We start from the raw sequence: 17,676 nt of genomic DNA, 5'->3' as shown, positions 1-17,676 counted from the left end.
CAAACATGTCTTTCTTCACATGGTGGCAGCAAGAAGAATCAGTGCCCAGCAAAGGGGGAAGCCCCTTATAAAATGATCAGATCTAATGAGAACTCACTATCATGAGAACAGCATGGGGGAAACCGCCCCCATAATTCAATTACCTCTACCTGGTCCCTCCCATGACACATGGAGATTAAGGGAACTACAAGATGAGATTTGGGTGGGGACACAGCCAAATCATGTCAATGTTGAAATGTTTAAAGCGGAAGACCTGGGGTTTTCTTCTTTCTCATATTCTGAGTCTTGTTGTTCCTATATCCTCTACTCATTTGTTCAAATGTTCAAGCAAATATTTGTTGAATGACTCTACTTATGTGCCCAGTGATTTATTGGTGACAAATACAAGACAGAGTCCCTGTAAAGGAGGAGGACAGAGTATCTCCTCCTACCTATGTGCTCTGAGGGAGGGAAGGGCAGGGACTGCCTGCCATGCTGTGCCACCCACCTCTCAGCCCATTGGTGCCTGGCCACCCTTGGTCATCTCTTAGAGGACTAGCAGCAGCTGCAATGCCCTTCCCTGGCTGGCACCGGGGCTGCCTGTCTTTCTAACCTACAAATCTGACCCACCATACCCTGATCATCTTTTCCCTGTGGATCTTTACATCCAGGCTGCTCGCAGCTCCGTGGACCCTTTGTCACCTGGCCCTGCTCACCTGTCTCACCCTACCTTCTCCTCTTCCCCATTTGCACCTGAGTCTCCAACCATCTGAGTTACTCACACACCTCCCCACAGCTAGACAGCCCCGGCCTCCTCCCGGCTTCTCTGCGCCTGGAACGCTCTATGCCCCCTCATCTACCTTCTCATTCCCTAGGGGTTAACAAAGGTGAGACCCTCCCTGGAGAGTGGCCCTGATCAACCTGGAACATGAGTTTTCTGCTCCTCTGTGTTGCTGCTCCATATGTATCGGAACAGCCCTTCTCCAGGTGTGGTCTGTAGACTCCTGGGGTCACCAAGACCCTTCCAGGGAGTCCACAAGTTGAAAATTATTTTCAGAAAAATGTCAAATGTCAAATGTCATTTGCCTTTTGCTCTCTGAGGACATGTGCACTGATGGTGCAAAGCATCTGCTGCTGTCTCAGCACAAATAAGGCAGGAACACCAAACTGTGCTCAGCACCATTGCGCTCTTCATTGCCACACTCTTACATTTAAAAATGCGCCAGTTTCACTTAAGAATGTCCTCAATGGAGCAGCAAAAATTGGTAATTTTCCTAAACCTCCACCCTTGGAACATGTTCAGGAAGCACACATACAACTCGTCAGCTGCATACCCAAGCACAATCGTAGCATTGAGGAAAAACATATGTACAACTGTGTTGGGAGCGGAACTAACTGTCTTTTTTCAAGAACCACAATTTTTACTTGGAAAATAAAGGTGAGAAAAAAACATTTTCTTTAAAATGAACAAAATGAGCCTGACGGTATTGGTAGATATAATTCAAACTGTCCAACAAAAATCAGAATTTTGGAAAATTTGTATCTGCCACCGTGAGCTTCCCAATACTTTTCCAATGAGATCTGAGTGTGACATTTTTTTTTGAGACAAGGTCTCGCTCTGTCCCCCAGGCTGAGTGCGGTGGCACAATCCACAGCTCACTGAAGCCTCAACCTCCCAGACTCAAGCAATCCTCCCACCTCAGCCTCCTAAGTAGCTTGGACTACAGGCACAAGCCACCATGCCCAGCTAATTTTTTATTTTTTGTAGAGATAGGATCTCACTACATTGCCCAGGCTGGTCTCAATCTCCTGGCCTCAAGCCATCCTCCCACCTCGGCCTCCCAAAATCCTGGGATTACAGGTGTGAGCCACCGTGACTGGCCTGAAAGTAATTTTTAATACTGTGAAATGAAATGTCCACATTTGGAAGATCTACATAACTTAGTGATTCCATATTTCCAAATAAACAATGCATGTTATGAAATCACGCATGAGTAAAAGATCTATTCCAAGTACAAGATAGGCCAATGAATTTTAATGCTACCAAATAAGAAAAGTCCACCAATAATGCCTCAGGTTCCGCATTGCAACCAACCTTGAAGAAATGGCCACTTGCTGAGTTTGGGAACACATGAAAGAATATCCACAGTTGTCTGAAAGGAGTATCAAAATACTCCTCCCTTTTCCAACTACATGTACCTGTATAAGAATGAATTTTCTTTAAATAACTTCCACCAAAGCAATACACTGCAACAGACTGAATGTAGATGCTGATATGAGAATCTAGTTTTCTTCTATTAAGATGCACATTAAAGAAATTTGCAAAAATGTAAAATAAGGCTACTCACTAAGTTTTTTTTTTTTTTGGTTTGAGGAGACATTTCATTAAAAGAATGTTTATTGTGTTTACATAAAAATGGATCCACTATTGTTATGTTAAACAAACATTTTGGACATTGCTCAGTTTACATTTCTAATACAGTCAATATCAATAGATATAGATGTGGCCCGCATAACTAAAGCTCTTTAGGGCCCTCAATAATTTTTAACAGTAAAGCGTCCAGAAAGAGACCGACAAGTCCAAGAACTGTAAAACTAGAGTAATGACAATAGTGGATTATGACTGCTGTCTGTACACACGTCTGCCTCCAGACCATGGCACCCCGAATACCAGAACTGTGTTGTTTTTTTTTCATGTTTGTATTTCTGCCATCAAACATGGTGCTTGACATGTAAACTCAGTTTATTACCTTACAGTTCTGAAAATCAGAAGATTAAGGCCACAGGGCTGTGTTCTATCTGGAGGCTGTAAGGGAGGACTCTTTCCATCCCTTTTCCAAATTCTAGAGGCTGCCTGCATTCCTTGGCTCGTGGCTGTCAACTCTCTCCCTCCCTCATCACATTTACTTCTCTGATTCTGACCCTCCTCCCTCCAGTAAAGACCCCTGTGACTACACTGGGCCCCCCACATAATCCATGAAAATCCATCCCCCATCTCAAGATAGTTAACTTAATCATATCTTCAAAGTCTTTTGAAATTTAAAATCCCTTTTGCCATATTCACAGGTTCTGGGGATTCGAATGTGGACATGTTTGGGGTGGGCCATTATTCTCTCCACCATAGCCATGTACTAAGACAATGGAGTAAAAACAAGGCAGAAAAATACCCCATTATTTTCCCCAATTTTTTTTTTTTGTTGTTGTTTTTTATGAGACAGAGTCTCACTCTGTCATCCAGGCTGGAATGCAGTGGCGCAATCTTGGCTCACTACAACCTCCACCTCCTGGGTTCAAGCGATTCTCCTGCCTCAGCCTCCCGAGTGATAGCTTGAACTACAGGTGTGCGCCACAACGCCTGGCTAATTTTTGTATTTTTAGTAAAGACAGGGTTTCACCATGTTGCACAGGCTGGTCTTGAACTGCTGAGCTCAAATGATTGGCCTGCCTCAGCCTCCCAAAGTCCTGGGATTACAGGCATGAGCCACCGCGCCCAGCCAATTTTCCCCAATATTTAGAATTCTCCAGGCCAGGATGAGAAAGACACTAAGAACAATGATGACCTCTGGAAGAGACACTGCATGGCTAAGAACAGGGTAGGAGGAATGTATCTGCGTATTCAACACACACTTACATGGCATTTACTACGTGCCAGGCAGTATCTGGTGCTTTCCAAATACTAGTCCGTTGCTCCTACAAAAATCCTAGACCATTTTACACTTGGAAAAACTGAGCTTTCAGGTTAAGTGACTTGTCCAAGGTCACACAGCTAGTGAGTAGGAGAGGCTGGAGCCAGGACCTGAACCAGGTCATCAGATGGTGTCCATGCTCTTCACCACTGCCCGATGTAGCTTAGGGGGACTTAGCTGTCACCGTTTACCCTTCTACACTGCTGGCATTTTGTACCATGCGCATGTATTACCAATCTGAAAAAGCGAAGATAGTGTCACAATACAGTTATCTCTAAACACGAGAGCTAAAAAGAAGATTTTCATACTTGGTCCTTCCCAATGATCTCACTTCCTTCATAGGCAGGAATAAAGTGAGAAATAGAATTCATTTTCAAGCCCCTTACAAAAGAAGGAGGAAAAAAATAGAAACACAAACAAGCACCATTTGGCAGCCAGTACTCATAACACCGACAGGAAAGTGAGATCTTTTTTTTTTTCCTTTTCCTTATGTAACAGGCTGTAAAGTTTCCTCTTCTCAGCAGCCAATAGTTTCATAGAACTACTGCTTCACAGAGAGCCGGCTCACTCTACCTTCATAGGAGACCTGCCTGGCATCCCAAACTCTCAAATGTCTATCAAAAGTGGCAGAGCCAACAGATATTTCACACAGTGTGCTTCAGAGAACTTCTGTAGATTTTTATCTGAAAGTTGTATTTATAGTTAATGTTCGGAGAGAAAAGCCAAGACTGATTTTTACTCAAAATGCTGGGAACGTTTATTTAACATCTCTCCTCCTGACCCTCATACTGCCTGGTCCTCTTTGCCATGGGGTGTCCCCTCCCCACCAGCCATCCCTGTCACAGGCCAGCAGGATGTTAATCCATCTACCTCACCCCTAAAGGGGACCGGTGAGGACCACACTTTAGTGGAGACGGCTTCCCAGTGCTGAGGAAGACTTAGGTTTTACAGAGAACATATAGGGGTTCCTTTATTCACTCTTTCCTCTAAAACATCTGAATATTTATTTTATAAGGGGCTTCTGATCATTCAACATGACAATACTTTAAGATCCAAAGGAATGAAGCTAGAGTGGTGGGATCAGAGAGGTGACAGGCAGGGGCAAGCTTTTCAAGTCACACACACACTCCAGTGGCCATCAAATGAGCAGACAAGTTCTCTATATTTTATAGAAGGCAGGGGGAAGTAGTAATACAATATTCATTAGTTAGTTAATTAGCTAGTTGGTTTTTCAGATACATGCAACGATACGTTATAAATTCCTGGAATTCAGGGTTTTCTACAATCTGGCCCCAATAGACTTTCCAACCTTTCTTCCCGTGACCTCTACATGCAGCCTCTGTCTTCCAGCTTGCTTGCTCTATGTGAAAGGCCCTTCCCTCCACCAAATCCCCCCACCACACACCTCCAGGTCCATGGCCTGTCCAACTGCAGCGCTGAGATCAAACACAAACCCTTCTAGAAACTGTCCTCTGATGCTGATGCTGAGAGCCCTGTGCCTTGCTTCTGGGTGCCTTTGCTCTTGTAAAACAGAAAAATTAGTGGAAATCCCACCTCTGACCTCTAATTCTCTTCATTGCAATTTTTTTTTTCTTTGGAGCCAGGATTTACAAGTGTTTTCCAATTCAACTATGAGCTTCTTGAGAGTATGAAATAATGTGTAATTCACCTTTATGTACCTTCGACATTTAACAAAAGGTTATCTGTTAAATACACAAGTGAATAAATAAATGACTGAGAATAAGAAAAAGAGAATCAAACAAAACTAAGTTTTATAAGGAAATTAGTATCCAGGATCTTAATTTTTTCCACCACTAAAAGAAAGCCACACGCTCACTTCCACACTGGTGGAAATGAAACCGATCTTCAGCACAGACAAAACAAACTCGTAATTCTGAGACCAAAGTTCTGTGTCCTGGTAAAACCAGTATTTCCCAATCAGATTGTTTTCTGATTTAAAAAAAAAAAAAGTACCACTCATCTTTAGGAACACTAATATGTTTTTACATCTGGAAATCTGGGGTATCAGCCAGCCAGACTCACTAATAGCAGTTTTACACACAAACAGAGCATTCTCTGAGCTAAATGCTGTTAGTCATCCTAAACAGGCTATGGAAGCCAAAATGCCCTCACTCTCATAAACAGGAAATAAGTGGGTTTGCCACATCAGAGCTGGCTCTATAATGCTTTTCCCTGGTGAGAAGCTATATAATGGACACATACATTCCCAAGAGCAATTCATTCCAAAGAGCAAATTTACATCGAAGTGGCTTCTGGTAGCTTGAGACTCAACGCTACTCACAGCGATTTAAAAAAAGAATGATTCAAAGGGGGCGTGGAGGCTAAAAAAAGAACCTCAGGCTGCAATTACCTTCATCATCTGGTAAGCCTGTGTTGGATTTACATCGTCTAAATGGAAGGAGGAACATAGGTCTTTTCTATTTTTGTCCCCTATTAAATACACCTCCAATCCTAACAAGGTAGGATTAATGGCTGTTTATAGATGGAGAATTCATTAATGCGACAAGTTCAGTGTTTACATAAAGACTTTATTCAGAAACTCTATGCCCAATGAGACTTTCTTAAAAGCTGCTGGAATGTTTCAAAAGATGGCAAACACTAGAAAAGGGATTTTCATACACAAATCACAAGTATGGCATTAACAGGATCCCAGTATAAACAGGTCTGGCCTGTCCAATCCCTTCAATGGTTGCCTTGTTGGCTCTGAAATAACACTGGCCTCTCTGGGGAATTCCAGTGGTAAAATTAATTCTCTCCATAAAAAGTTTTTACAGATGATATTTCCGCTCAAGTCAAATACAGCCTACGGACATTTCCTCTCTCCACTGTGAATAACTAGAACAGAAATTTAAGCCCTTCTAGGCAAAATCAAATGGTCACTCATTTTGTAGGCAACAGAGGAACTTCATACTGAACCCTCAACGATTCTCCATATATTCCTGTCTCTTCCGCTCCTCACAGAGCATCACAGGCATAGTGGAGTGAAGCTGGTGAATGCTGGAAGTTCTTTGCTTCCCAGTGTAAGCGATTTGCCAAATGGAACATGGTGTCTTCCAAGCACGGGCCCAGCAATAAACGAGGTGAGCTAAGAGTCGACTGCCTGCATTCTGAGCGCACGAGGAAAGACAATGGTGGAGGTTTGGGACACACAATTCCTAAGAACACACATGCGCAACAGAGATCATGTGCCGGGAACTTTGCACACATTATCTCATTCCATCCTCAAAACCTCGGCATAGAAGGCCTCAGGAAACAGTAAGTCCTACTGCCTCAGTTCAGGCCACCTCTTGTAGACTAATGGCCAAGGGGCAGCGGGAGTGCTCACGCCAGCCCTGGGGCTGCTCTCCAGCCAATGCAGGCTAGAGAGGCTGGCTCTCCAAGGCTGCTTTCCACACCTGCGCAAGTTAAAAATGGGGCTTGCGGCCGAGCACAGTGACTCACACGTGTAATCCCAGCACTTTGGGAGGTCGAGGCGGGCAGATCACCCGAGGTTGGGAGTTCGAGACCAGCCTGACCAACATGGAGAAACCTTGTCTCTACTAAAAAAACAAAATTAGCCAGGCGTGGTGGTGCATGCCTGTAATCCCAGCTACTCGGGAGGCTGAGGCAGGAGAATCCCTTGAACCAGGAGGTGGAGGTTGCGGTGAGCCAAGATTGCACCATTGCACTCCAGCCTGGGCAACAAGAGCAAAACTTCATCTCAAAAAAAAAAAAAAAAAAAAAAAGGGGGCGGGGTGGGGGAGGGGGGGTTGCACTGCCCCAAGCCTCTTGCAGGAGGTGCACCCACAGCAAAACCCTGGAATCTGCATTTTCATTAAGCTCAGCAGGTGAGTCTTGGGCACTAGGAAGTTTGAGACCCATTTTCCTAAACATTATTAGTATCAATGAATGTCAAATACTGCAAGGATGCTTCTTTTCTAGAAAAGCAGAACCTTAATAGCAACCCACAAGCAACCCCCTAGCTTCCTGGGACCTGCCACTGTGACTAACACTTCTTTCAGTAAAAGATTCATTAGATATAGAGATATAGACAGAGACAGATTTTTTTTCCCACTTGAAACTGATCAAGAGACAAAAGTTAAGCAACGTAAACTTCAGGATATGACTGAAAGCCCTGAACTCTGTGTAGCTTGTTCCCAGGGTCCCCCACACATTTTAAGTGCTCGACAGGGGGCTATAAATATTCTGCTTGGAAGGGCAACATAAGCCCAAACAAGTGCTTAAGGCTTTCCTTTTCATCTACTTTCTGATATTCTTATAATTTCTATTTTAAAAAAACAGGTCTTCTTTCCCAGAGAGCCAGCCATTTGGTTTTTATAGCAAGCAAAGGATTGGCTTCTCTGGAAAAGCAAACAGAACTTTCCTTCTTTTCAAGTACATGGTTGCCTTCTAGCAATGCCAAGGGAAAGTGAAATTTAGGGAAAGGCAGGCTCTCAAATGGCCGGCCACTGCTAAGTTATAATTCAAAGTTGTATTAAAAACTGTTTTTCAAAGTCATTTAAATTTTTGATTTCCGTAAATTTTAACTTTTTTAGTTAAAAAATGGGATTACTGTTTTCTAATTCATTGCAAAAGTAAATCAAGGTAATTTTTAATAAAACAGGAAGCTGCAAAAGCGAGGGAGGAGGAGGAGAAGCACGTTTTCAGAATTCCTGCCAAGTGAAACGCTGGGCTGAACATGCCACAGACAGGAACTCCCCCAAACTCACAGGGACCACAGGGGCAGGGGAGAAACATTATCCTCTGGATGAGAAAAGTGAGGCTCAGCATCTTCATTCGGGCTCCCCTAAAAGCAGAGTCTGAGTCAAGGACTTGAGTACAGAAGTTTATTTGGAAGGTGACCCCGAGATTCCCAAAGGAAGGGGTAGGGACAGTGAGGCAAGAAGGGCAGGAAGCCCATGGGAGGTGTGAAAGCGAGGCTGCTGTGTACAGCTGGGGCTCATTCCAGGGCCCATCTGCAGAGCTGTGTAGACTGCACCTCAGAACCGTTTCCACCAGGGTAAAGAGGCTGGGGTAGCATCCACCAAAGCCCAGAACTCCCTGGGTGAGTCAAAAAACCAGTATAGGGCAGCCCAGGACCTGAACCCACGTCTGACTCAAAACCTGTATGCTTGTCACCCTGCCATCTCTCAGAGTTTCCACAAACACAGGCTTCTCTTGTCATTCAGATGTTGCATATGAATGAGAGACCTGGTCTTTTTTCACTTTTATCTTTTAATCCACCCACCTACCCTTATTTTCTTTTCCCCTCAACCTTCAAAATGGAAGACTTCCTTCTGAGATGTTTGCCCAAAGGCATGTAACTTCCTTCACAAGCAACGCAACTACCTCGAAAAGAAAAAGAAAAGCCTCTGTTTGTGGTGTCTGGGGAAGGAGTCTGCTGGGGCTGTTTTTTCCAGCACAGGCGACATCACTATGGAACAGCCACCTGGAGCTTAGGAGAGGGGAGGAATGGTAAAGCTCAGGGCAGAGGTGGGCGGGGCGCTGCCTGGGAGACTGTCACACCCACAGAGCACAGTCTTGCCAGGACACCAGGAAAGGGTTAGTGGCTCCCACTAGGCTGGTAGTGGAAGAACCTGCAAGATTCCATCAGGAGGACGTGATGTGGACAAGCACCGTGCCTGCCTGGCTAACTAAGCTCTCTGTCCACACAGACATTGGTTGTAAAGGATTAGACAGTCCGAATGGCTGCCTAAGATGAGTAATAGAATAGCTATTTAACAGATCCAGGACTGCCTCTTTATTCTGTTTCCTTGCCAATAAATAAATAAATAAATAAATAAATAAATAAATAAATAAATAAATAAAAGTGGCTTAACTCACCTGCTTGATCCTTACTATTTAAAAAAAAATTTAAAAAGAAAAGAAAAACAGCCGGGCGCGGTTGCTTACACCTGTAATCCCAGCACTTTGGGAGGCTGAGGAGGGTGGATCGCTTGAGGTCAGGAGTTCAAGACCAGCCTGGCCAACATGGTGAAACCCCATCTCTATTAAAAACGCAGAAATTAGCCAGGCGTGGTGGCATGTTCCTGTAGTCCCAGCTACTTCAGAGGCTGAGGCAAGGGAATCACTAGAAACCGGGAGGTGGAGGTTGCACTAAGCCAAGATTGCGCCACTGCACTCCAGCCTGGGTGACAGAGCAAGACTGTCTCAAAAAAAAAAAAAAAAAAAAAAAGGTAAATTTGCCCCTTTCTCTACTTTCTACAGGAATTCATTCCCGCAAGTACCAAAAGTATTATAGCCTCTGTGGTAATTTCTTATTATGATAAAATACATAGAGACATAACACAGGTAGTGAATGTATCCCTCAAGAGTAATGAATCCAACAAATGGACACATGTATGTATTATATGGAATACTCAGGCCCATAACAGCAGCCCAGGGTAGCTGAATGATGGCCCTAATATACCCAAGTAATTAATAAGTTCCATCATAATTTTTGTTTTATGACATTCACTTTTATATGCCAATAGTCCATTTAATGGCATTTTAAATTAGAGGAAAGCCCCAAGAGAGGAGGAGAAAGCACGAGATACCTTATTGAATCGCAAATCTTACCATCTGATTTTTTAATTCCAAAAATGACCTAATAAACTTCCTTTATAATTAAATCAATCCTAACAACTTCTCTTTGGTGTTTTTTCATTCATTTTTGGTAATCATGCAGAGATTTCAATTGGAAATCCATTATTATCGTAATTAAGTATAAAAATTGCTCTGTGTTCTCCCAGGAAAAAGACCCCACACTTGGTCTCCTGTGGAGCTTGACCCGGGCTCTCCAGAGGTATAAAGCGAAACTACTGGTTTTCAGTACTAGCCGAGCCCCTAATTTACTTGACTGCAGTACATGAAATACACATGAATGATCAACTCAAAACTTCAGACCTTCAAATGATTTCCTCATATGGAAGTCTTACCGTGAGAAAACTAAACTGGCACACAGTTTTTCATTTTTAGGCCTTCACAAAGTTTTAAAATTCATGACCTACATTAAAAGTTTGCTGTTTACTGGCCAGGCACGGTGGCTCATGCCTGTAATCCCAGCACTCTGGGAGACCGAGGCGGGTAGATCACCTGAGGTCAGGAGTTTGAGACCAGTCTGGGCAACATGCTGAAACCCCACCTCTACTAAAAATGCAAAAATTAGCGAGGCATGGTGGTACACGTTTGTAGTCTCAGCTACTCAGGAGGCTGAGGCACGAGAATCTCTTGAACCCGGGAGACAGAGCTTGCAGTGAGCTGAGATTGTGCCACTGCACTCCAGCCTGGGTGACAGAGTGAGACTCTGTCTCAAAAAAAAATAAAAATAAAAATAAATTTTAAAAAAGAAAGTTTGCTGTTTATTAATAAAGTAGTACTTAACAAAAGATATAACTGAACTGAAATGCACGGGCTGTTCTAAGAGCCCAACAGAAGACTGCAAAATGGTTGTGCCTTAGATTCAACTAAATAAGAAAAATCTTTCCACTTTGGCATTTATGCAGGCTTTCATCTGCCTTCAGTCACAAAGGAACTACAAGACTAAACATTATGGGTGATTTTTAAAGAGTCCATGATTTTTTTTTAAATGTTATTTTGTGCAAAAATAATTATTTTCTATTTTAATGAAAGCGCTATAATTACTAAAACGCATGAAATTTTGATAAAATCTACTCCAGTTGGCATCTGTGTTCTTCTAATAAATTAGAAAACATTCTTTGAACAGCTTAAATAATCTGAGTTTGCAAGCAAAATTACAGCCTAAAAATATTGGCTGTTGATACCAGCAGTTAAGAAGGAAGACAGAACAAAGCCTTACCATTGGCTGTATTCTTTTTAAAGTTATCCAGGAATTCCTCCAGCAGTTGGGACTGGTTAGGAGGGGGCAGCAGACTCTTCTGGTCCCTGGAGAACAGGTCACTGTCTGACCAGGATGTACACAGGGTTGCTTTTGTGTCCGGAGGCCGGGCAATCAGAGTGAGTCCGACGCTCTTCTCAGAAAACAGGGCCTCCATCTGCTTAAGGTCAAGATCAGACACAGCTTCCCCATTTAAGGTCATGATCTCATTGCCCTTTCTCAGCCCTGAGAAAAAGGAAGGAGAAACAGAAAAAAGAGAGAGGGATTACTGTGAGAAATATTTTCAGATGAAAGAAGGCTGCAAACTCAAACCATGTACTCGTAGGGACTGTTTTGTTTGTTGCTTTCTTCAAAGAAAGTGCCAGCCAGGCACAGTGGCAGGTGCCTGTAGTCCCAGCTAATCAGGAGGCAGAGACAGGAAGATCACTTGAGCCCAGGAGTTTGAGGCCAGCCTGGGGCTATATAGCAAGACTTCGTCTTTTAAATAAGAAAAACAAAAAAGAATTAAAGGGCCAAAATGTATAGTATTTAGATGCCACTAAGAGCAAAACAAATGTTAGCTCTCTCACAGCTACTATTCGAAGAAACAGTTTGAAAGATCTCAGCTCACTGCAACCTCTGTCTCCCCGGTTCAAGAGATTCTTGTGCCTCAGCCTCCTGAGAACCACTCATTCGTTGTTTTTTCTAGTGTTCCCATGTTAACTTTGTTCCATCCGTGTCCGCCTGTCTGTCTCACACTCTCTTCCTCCTTCCCTCTGTCTATATATATGTATACACTTACTCTTTTAAACACACACACACACATGCTCTCTCTATATATAGGCATATGCATTTTCTTTCTTTTCTCTCTCTCTGTCCTTTTTTACGGAGGCAGGAGTCTCACTCTGTCTCCCAGGCTGGTCTTGGGCTCCTGGGCTCAAGCAATCCTCCCATCCTCCCACCTCAGCCTCCTGAGCAGCTGGGTTTATGCGAGCGAGCCGCTGTGTTTGGTCGCATTTCCAATTAAACTCTTACGTTTACTTTCTTTAAAATTCCAGGAGCAACCTTTTTCTGACAAAACTGTAAGAAGAAACATTCACTAGCCAGACTGTATCCCACAGTTTCAAATTAAGAGGCAACAGGGGCACGGTGTGCCACACGGACCTTCCCCATACGCCAGGCCATCGGGAAGAACGTCGCTTATAAATATCCGGCTGAGATGCTGACGCTCATCCACCTGCGCTGTAACTGCAAACCCTAGGAATGAAAACAAAAGGAAAAAGCAAGTCTCAGCCCACCACACTGAATTTCTCCAACCACACCGGCAGTATCTCCTTGAACATCTTTTCTCATAAGTACAGTATGTTGAGAAAGTCGAAATTACAGCTATTTTGAAAGTATAAATATCTTGCAGGGGCAGAAAAAGACAAATGTCAAACGAGAGGCTTAAGAAATATAAAAACATAACTTTTATTCCAAAGGTGAGACCATGCACCCACACGCATAACAGCGTAATTCACAATAGCCAAGAGGTGGAAATAACCCAACTGTCTGTCAATAGACGGATGGATAAGCAAAATGTGATCTATGCATACAGTGGAGTATCATTCAGTCTTAAAAAGGAAAAATATCTTGGCATATGCTACAATTTGGGTGAACTTTGAGGAGAATATGCTAAGTAAAATATGTCAGTCACAAATAGACAACACAGTATGATACTATTTACGTGAGTAGCTAGAGCAGTCAACTTCAGAGAGGTAGAAAGTATTAATAGAATGGTGGTTGCTAGGGGAATTCCGAGAGATACAAAGTATTAACAAACTGGTGGTTGCCAGGGGCTGGGGGAAGGACAGTATGAGGAATTGGTGTTAAATGGGTACAGAGTTCAGCTTTACAAGACGAAAAGATTTCTAGAGATAGATGATGGTAGCACAACATTGTGAATGTACTTAACATCACAAAACTGTACACCTAAAAGTGGTCAAGACGATAAATTTTATGTTATATGTCTATTACCACAATTAAAAATTTAGGCAAATTTAACAGCAAAAAAATACTCTCACTGAAATACATGAAATTCAGTTCAATACAACAAATAATTGTTGAGAAACAACTATGTTTGGGGTTGAGCATTTTAAGAAGGTGAAAAAATGCTTGGATGAATACGGTGCTTGCCCTAAATACATAAGACTACATGCAAATCCTAGGCAGACCTTCCCTCTTCTGAATGCATGGCTCCTGACTTAGTGTCCCCCTCTGTGATGCCACAGTGAGGAGCACAGGTTTCCATGTCTTGGTCCCCTAATACGGAGAGTTCTTTGAGGACAGCAAGAATGTCCTGTTCCCTAGGTCTCTGCTGTGACCCCAGCAGAGCCTGGCAGATTATGGTCTCACCAGAGAGTATCTTCTGCTGGTAGAATATGGTCTCACCAGAGAGTATCTTTGCAATGTCTTCATTCATCCATTCCAATACAAAGATGAACACAAATGGCAACCACAAAAAGCACAGTGAAGGCCAAGAGGAGGAGAAAAAAGGCTAAGAGGGCTTCAAAGGAAAAACCAACATAACATGGGGTCCGGGCACAGTGGCTCATGCCTGTAATCCCAGCACTTTGGGAGGCTGAGGTGGGCGGATCACTTGAGTCCAGGAGTTCAAGAGCAGCCTGGCCAACATGGTGAAACCCCGTCTCTACTAAAAATACAAAAATTAGCCAGGTGTGGTGGCAAGCACGGTGCCTGTAATCCCAGCTACTTGGGAGGCTGAGGCAGGGAGAATTGCTTGAACCCAGGAGGCGGAGGTTGCAGTGAGCCGAGATCATGCCACTGCACTCCAGCCTGGGTGACAGAGCAAGACTATGTCTCAAAAAAAATAAAAAATAAAAAAATAACATGGGGGTCAGAAAAGATTATACAAATTTTTAAAAAACGAAGGCATCCTAAAAAGGACATTTTAACATATTATAAACTTTATTATTAGTTTGAATCATTTTAAGGAAAAAATCATGTATCGATATATTTAACAAGGTAAGAAACAGTGTTTCTATGGAGGTATTTACCAATCATTATCTAATCATTCAGTGTTTCTATGGAAGTATTTACCAATCATTATCTAATCAAGGAGAAATGTAGGAAATGATGCTATGAAGTGACTTCAGAAGTACTGACCCTTAACTGTTTTTTTGTTTTGTTTTGTTTTGAGACGGAGTTTCGCTCTTGTCGCCCAGGCTAGAGTACAGTGGTGCAATCTTGGCTTACGGCTCACTGCAACCTCTGCCTCCCAGGTTCAAGCGATTCTCCTGCCTCAGCCTCCCGAGTAGCTGGGATTACAGGCATGTACCACCATGCTTGGCTAATTTTGTATTTTTAGTAGAGAGGGGGTTTCTCCATGTTGGTCAGGCTGGTCTCGAACTCCCGACCTCAGGTGATCTGCCCGCCTTGGCCTCCCAAAGTGCTGGGATTACAGGCATGAGCCACGGCGCCCAGCTGACCCTCAACTGTTAAACTCAGGGAAGAAAGAAGGAAGTAAAGCTAAAGCAATCAGACACGGCTTCTTCAAGAAAGACCTTGAGTTAGTTCTTGAAGGACAGCAGGATTCATGTCACCAGAGAGGAGGGATGGGGGAAGAAAGAGGAAAGAAGGGGAGCATTCCAGGTGGGAAGAGAAAACTAAGAGCAAAGACACTAGAGATGAAAGCAACTGTCATATGAATCATGAGTTGGTCTGCTCAGAGCAGCACCAGCACACAGTACATTCATTGTGTTATTAATCTATATTTTCAAATTCCCATCAATTTTATATTCATTCCATTTAATTACTTTGGCATTTCCCTCTAATACTAATACCTATCTGTGTCACCTGCTAATATCAATAAATAGAAATGAAGGAAGAGAAAGGAAGTTCAGAAACTACTGTCATATATTCTGAAAATGTGAATGTAAGGGGAAAAAATTAAGTCCAAAGATGCTGGGGCAAAGTAGGCAAAGATGAACAACACAATTCCCTGAAAGGGGCATTCCTTACACTCACCAAAGTCACACACACTCCCAGTCTTCGTGAGCTGCACGTCATAAACATTTAGTGGAAAGACTTCTATTTCATCATAAACCTGCAAAAGGTGAAAACAACAAAATCAGAGGATCTCATGTTATGATACCTCAAAAAATTACTTTGACACTATTTTTCATAAAACAAGAAAGCTGTTAAGATACCGTTTATATAGAGACTGTTTCCAAACTAGACGCCAAATTTAAACAGAATTTTCCCCAAAAATGACATTTTTCAAAATCAAAGGGCCATAGATGTGGTTCAGTTTCCCTTCCTAAAGCTAGTGCACACTTACCTGTTGTTGCATATATTCATATGGTGCAGGGATGCAATACTCAACATTGTCATCTACTAATTTTCGAAGCTGTAGGCCATAATGGCTGGGTTCCAACTGCCTCATCTATAAAGAAAAAGACAGTTATTCAGATTTTAAATGCTCTTTCTAAATCCATCATTGGTTAGCAGGCTTATTAAAAATCAAAGTAGAAATCTCTAAAAGAATACTGCATATAATTTGCTGAATTTAAACCTATATAAGAGCTCGAATTTAAATACTTGTATGCAGGCCAGGGGCAGCGGCTCACACCTGTAATCCCAGCACTTTGGGAGGCCAAGGCGGGTGGATCACTTGAGGTCAGGAGTTGGAGACCAGCCTAGCCAATACAGCAAAACATCGACTATAGTAAAAATACAAAAATTAGCCAGGTGTAGTGGCACACACCTATAATACTAGCTACTCGGGAGGCTGAGGCAGGAGAATCGATTGAACCCAGGAGGTGGAGGTTGCAGTGAGCTGAGGTAGCACCACTGCACTCCAGTCTGGGTGATAACAGCAAGACTCCAACTCAAATAAATAAATAAATAAATAAATACTTGTATGCAAAAAAGTAAAGGAGGACAATTATTTTTAAGAAGGTTTTCGCTGAACAATATTGCTTATGATTAAAGGCAAGAGATGCATTTTTAAGAGATTACGGTAGAACATATCTGACAGTAAAATAAATCTTATCAGCTCAGCAAATGCCATCTCTTTAGTTAGGTTAAGCCTAACCTTGTTTCTCATTACTAAAGTACAGAAATTTGTAAAATGTTAACAAATCTACAGACTTAAGAATGTCCTACTCCAAAAACTTTCAAAACGAAAATGTGTACGCACACACACTCATATTTTCTCTCGCATGCATATTTTCAACAGTGAGAAATTTATCTCAGGCCTATGCTCTAACTGGGTCAAATTGACCCACTACATCTTTTTTTTTTTTTTTTTTTTTTTAATTTGAGACGGAGTCTTGCTCTGTCGCCCAGGCTGGGGTGCAGTGGAGCCATCTCGGCTTAAGGCAAGCTCCACCTCCCAGGTTGACGCCATTCTCCTGCCTCTGCCTCCCGAGTAGCTGGGACTACAGGCGCCCGCCACCACACCCAGCTAATTTTTTGTATTTTTAGTAGAGACGGGGTTTCACCGTGTTAGCCAGGATGGTCTCGATCTCCTGACCTCCTCGGCCTCCCCAAGTGCTGGGATTACAGGCATGAGCCACTGCTCCCAGCTGACCCACTACTTCTGATACCCTTTATTACTCAGAAAATTATCAGTTTAATGGAGGATATCATTGGTATAGAACATTGTTGGTTTTCTGAATAAAAACGTTACATATGGGAGCAAAAGGAAATTAAGTTCCTAAGGATATAAACTACATATAAATGTAGAGAATCCTAATGTTTCAAGTCAAAGTGAAAAAGGGGGACTAAAATTAAACATTTTTCACATTTATTAAGTGCACATGATTAAGTGTTGCCAAACTCTATATGCCTTTTTCACCATTTCAACATAGTTGATTGTATTTTCTCTGGAAACTTAAAACTATTTAAGCTCTACTGCACCACCTGGTGGTCTAAAAGCTTCTGATCTGATGTTGCTGAATATATTCTCTCTCAGAGGGCTCTCTTTAAGACTTACCATAAACTCCCTTCTCAGATCAGGAATGAAACCCAGTTTGAAAAATGAATAAAACATCATCTTATATTAATCTCCATAAAGCAACTGTGAATATATCAAGTTTCGTGTTTAATCTGGAGAAATCCGATAAAACTATTTAGGATTAAATTAAATTACCTCAAAGTTTATGCCGCCTT

At 42.5% G+C, this 17,676-nt stretch overlaps 1 protein-coding gene across 3 annotated transcripts in view, besides 5 other annotated features; it reads right to left on the bottom strand.

Moving 5' to 3' along the window:
* The window catches only part of TIAM2 (TIAM Rac1 associated GEF 2), a 262,409-nt gene that overhangs the window by 62,739 nt on the left and 181,994 nt on the right, over positions 1 to 17,676 (bottom strand). For all 3 annotated transcript variants that reach the window (NM_012454.4, NM_001384546.1, NM_001384547.1), the window contains 4 exons: positions 15,842 to 15,946; positions 15,529 to 15,607; positions 12,667 to 12,759; positions 11,485 to 11,748 (listed from right to left, as the gene is read on the bottom strand). In NM_012454.4, the coding sequence (NP_036586.3) occupies positions 11,485 to 11,748; positions 12,667 to 12,759; positions 15,529 to 15,607; positions 15,842 to 15,946 (541 nt within the window). The remainder of the gene's footprint in view (positions 1 to 11,484; positions 11,749 to 12,666; positions 12,760 to 15,528; positions 15,608 to 15,841; positions 15,947 to 17,676) is intronic.
* Positions 7,027 to 7,530: an enhancer, noted in NCBI's record as "H3K4me1 hESC enhancer chr6:155508589-155509092 (GRCh37/hg19 assembly coordinates)". NCBI's record gives its function as "activates a minimal SCP1, AML or CMV promoter by ChIP-STARR-seq in primed H9 embryonic stem cells {active_cell/tissue: H9 hESC(primed)}" and the evidence as "EXISTENCE:reporter gene assay evidence [ECO:0000049][PMID:30033119]".
* Positions 8,013 to 8,818: an enhancer, noted in NCBI's record as "OCT4-H3K27ac hESC enhancer chr6:155507301-155508106 (GRCh37/hg19 assembly coordinates)". NCBI's record gives its function as "activates a minimal SCP1, AML or CMV promoter by ChIP-STARR-seq in naive H9 embryonic stem cells {active_cell/tissue: H9 hESC(naive)}" and the evidence as "EXISTENCE:reporter gene assay evidence [ECO:0000049][PMID:30033119]".
* Positions 8,819 to 9,626: an enhancer, noted in NCBI's record as "OCT4-H3K27ac hESC enhancer chr6:155506493-155507300 (GRCh37/hg19 assembly coordinates)". NCBI's record gives its function as "activates a minimal SCP1, AML or CMV promoter by ChIP-STARR-seq in naive H9 embryonic stem cells {active_cell/tissue: H9 hESC(naive)}" and the evidence as "EXISTENCE:reporter gene assay evidence [ECO:0000049][PMID:30033119]".
* Positions 13,189 to 13,398: an enhancer, noted in NCBI's record as "active region_25304". NCBI's record gives its function as "activates an Ori minimal core promoter by ATAC-STARR-seq in GM12878 lymphoblastoid cells {active_cell/tissue: GM12878}" and the evidence as "EXISTENCE:reporter gene assay evidence [ECO:0000049][PMID:35858748]".
* Positions 16,769 to 16,971: a silencer, noted in NCBI's record as "fragment chr6:155499148-155499350 (GRCh37/hg19 assembly coordinates)". NCBI's record gives its function as "represses an EF-1alpha promoter that drives an FKBP-Casp9 reporter gene in an ReSE screen in K562 erythroleukemia cells {active_cell/tissue: K562}" and the evidence as "EXISTENCE:reporter gene assay evidence [ECO:0000049][PMID:32094911]".

Source organism: Homo sapiens, chromosome 6 (assembly GCF_000001405.40).
Source record: "Homo sapiens chromosome 6, GRCh38.p14 Primary Assembly".
Taxonomy (NCBI): Eukaryota; Metazoa; Chordata; class Mammalia; order Primates; family Hominidae; genus Homo; species Homo sapiens.
Note: the sequence above shows the minus strand (reverse complement) of the source record. Positions and strands in the feature narration are given on the sequence as shown.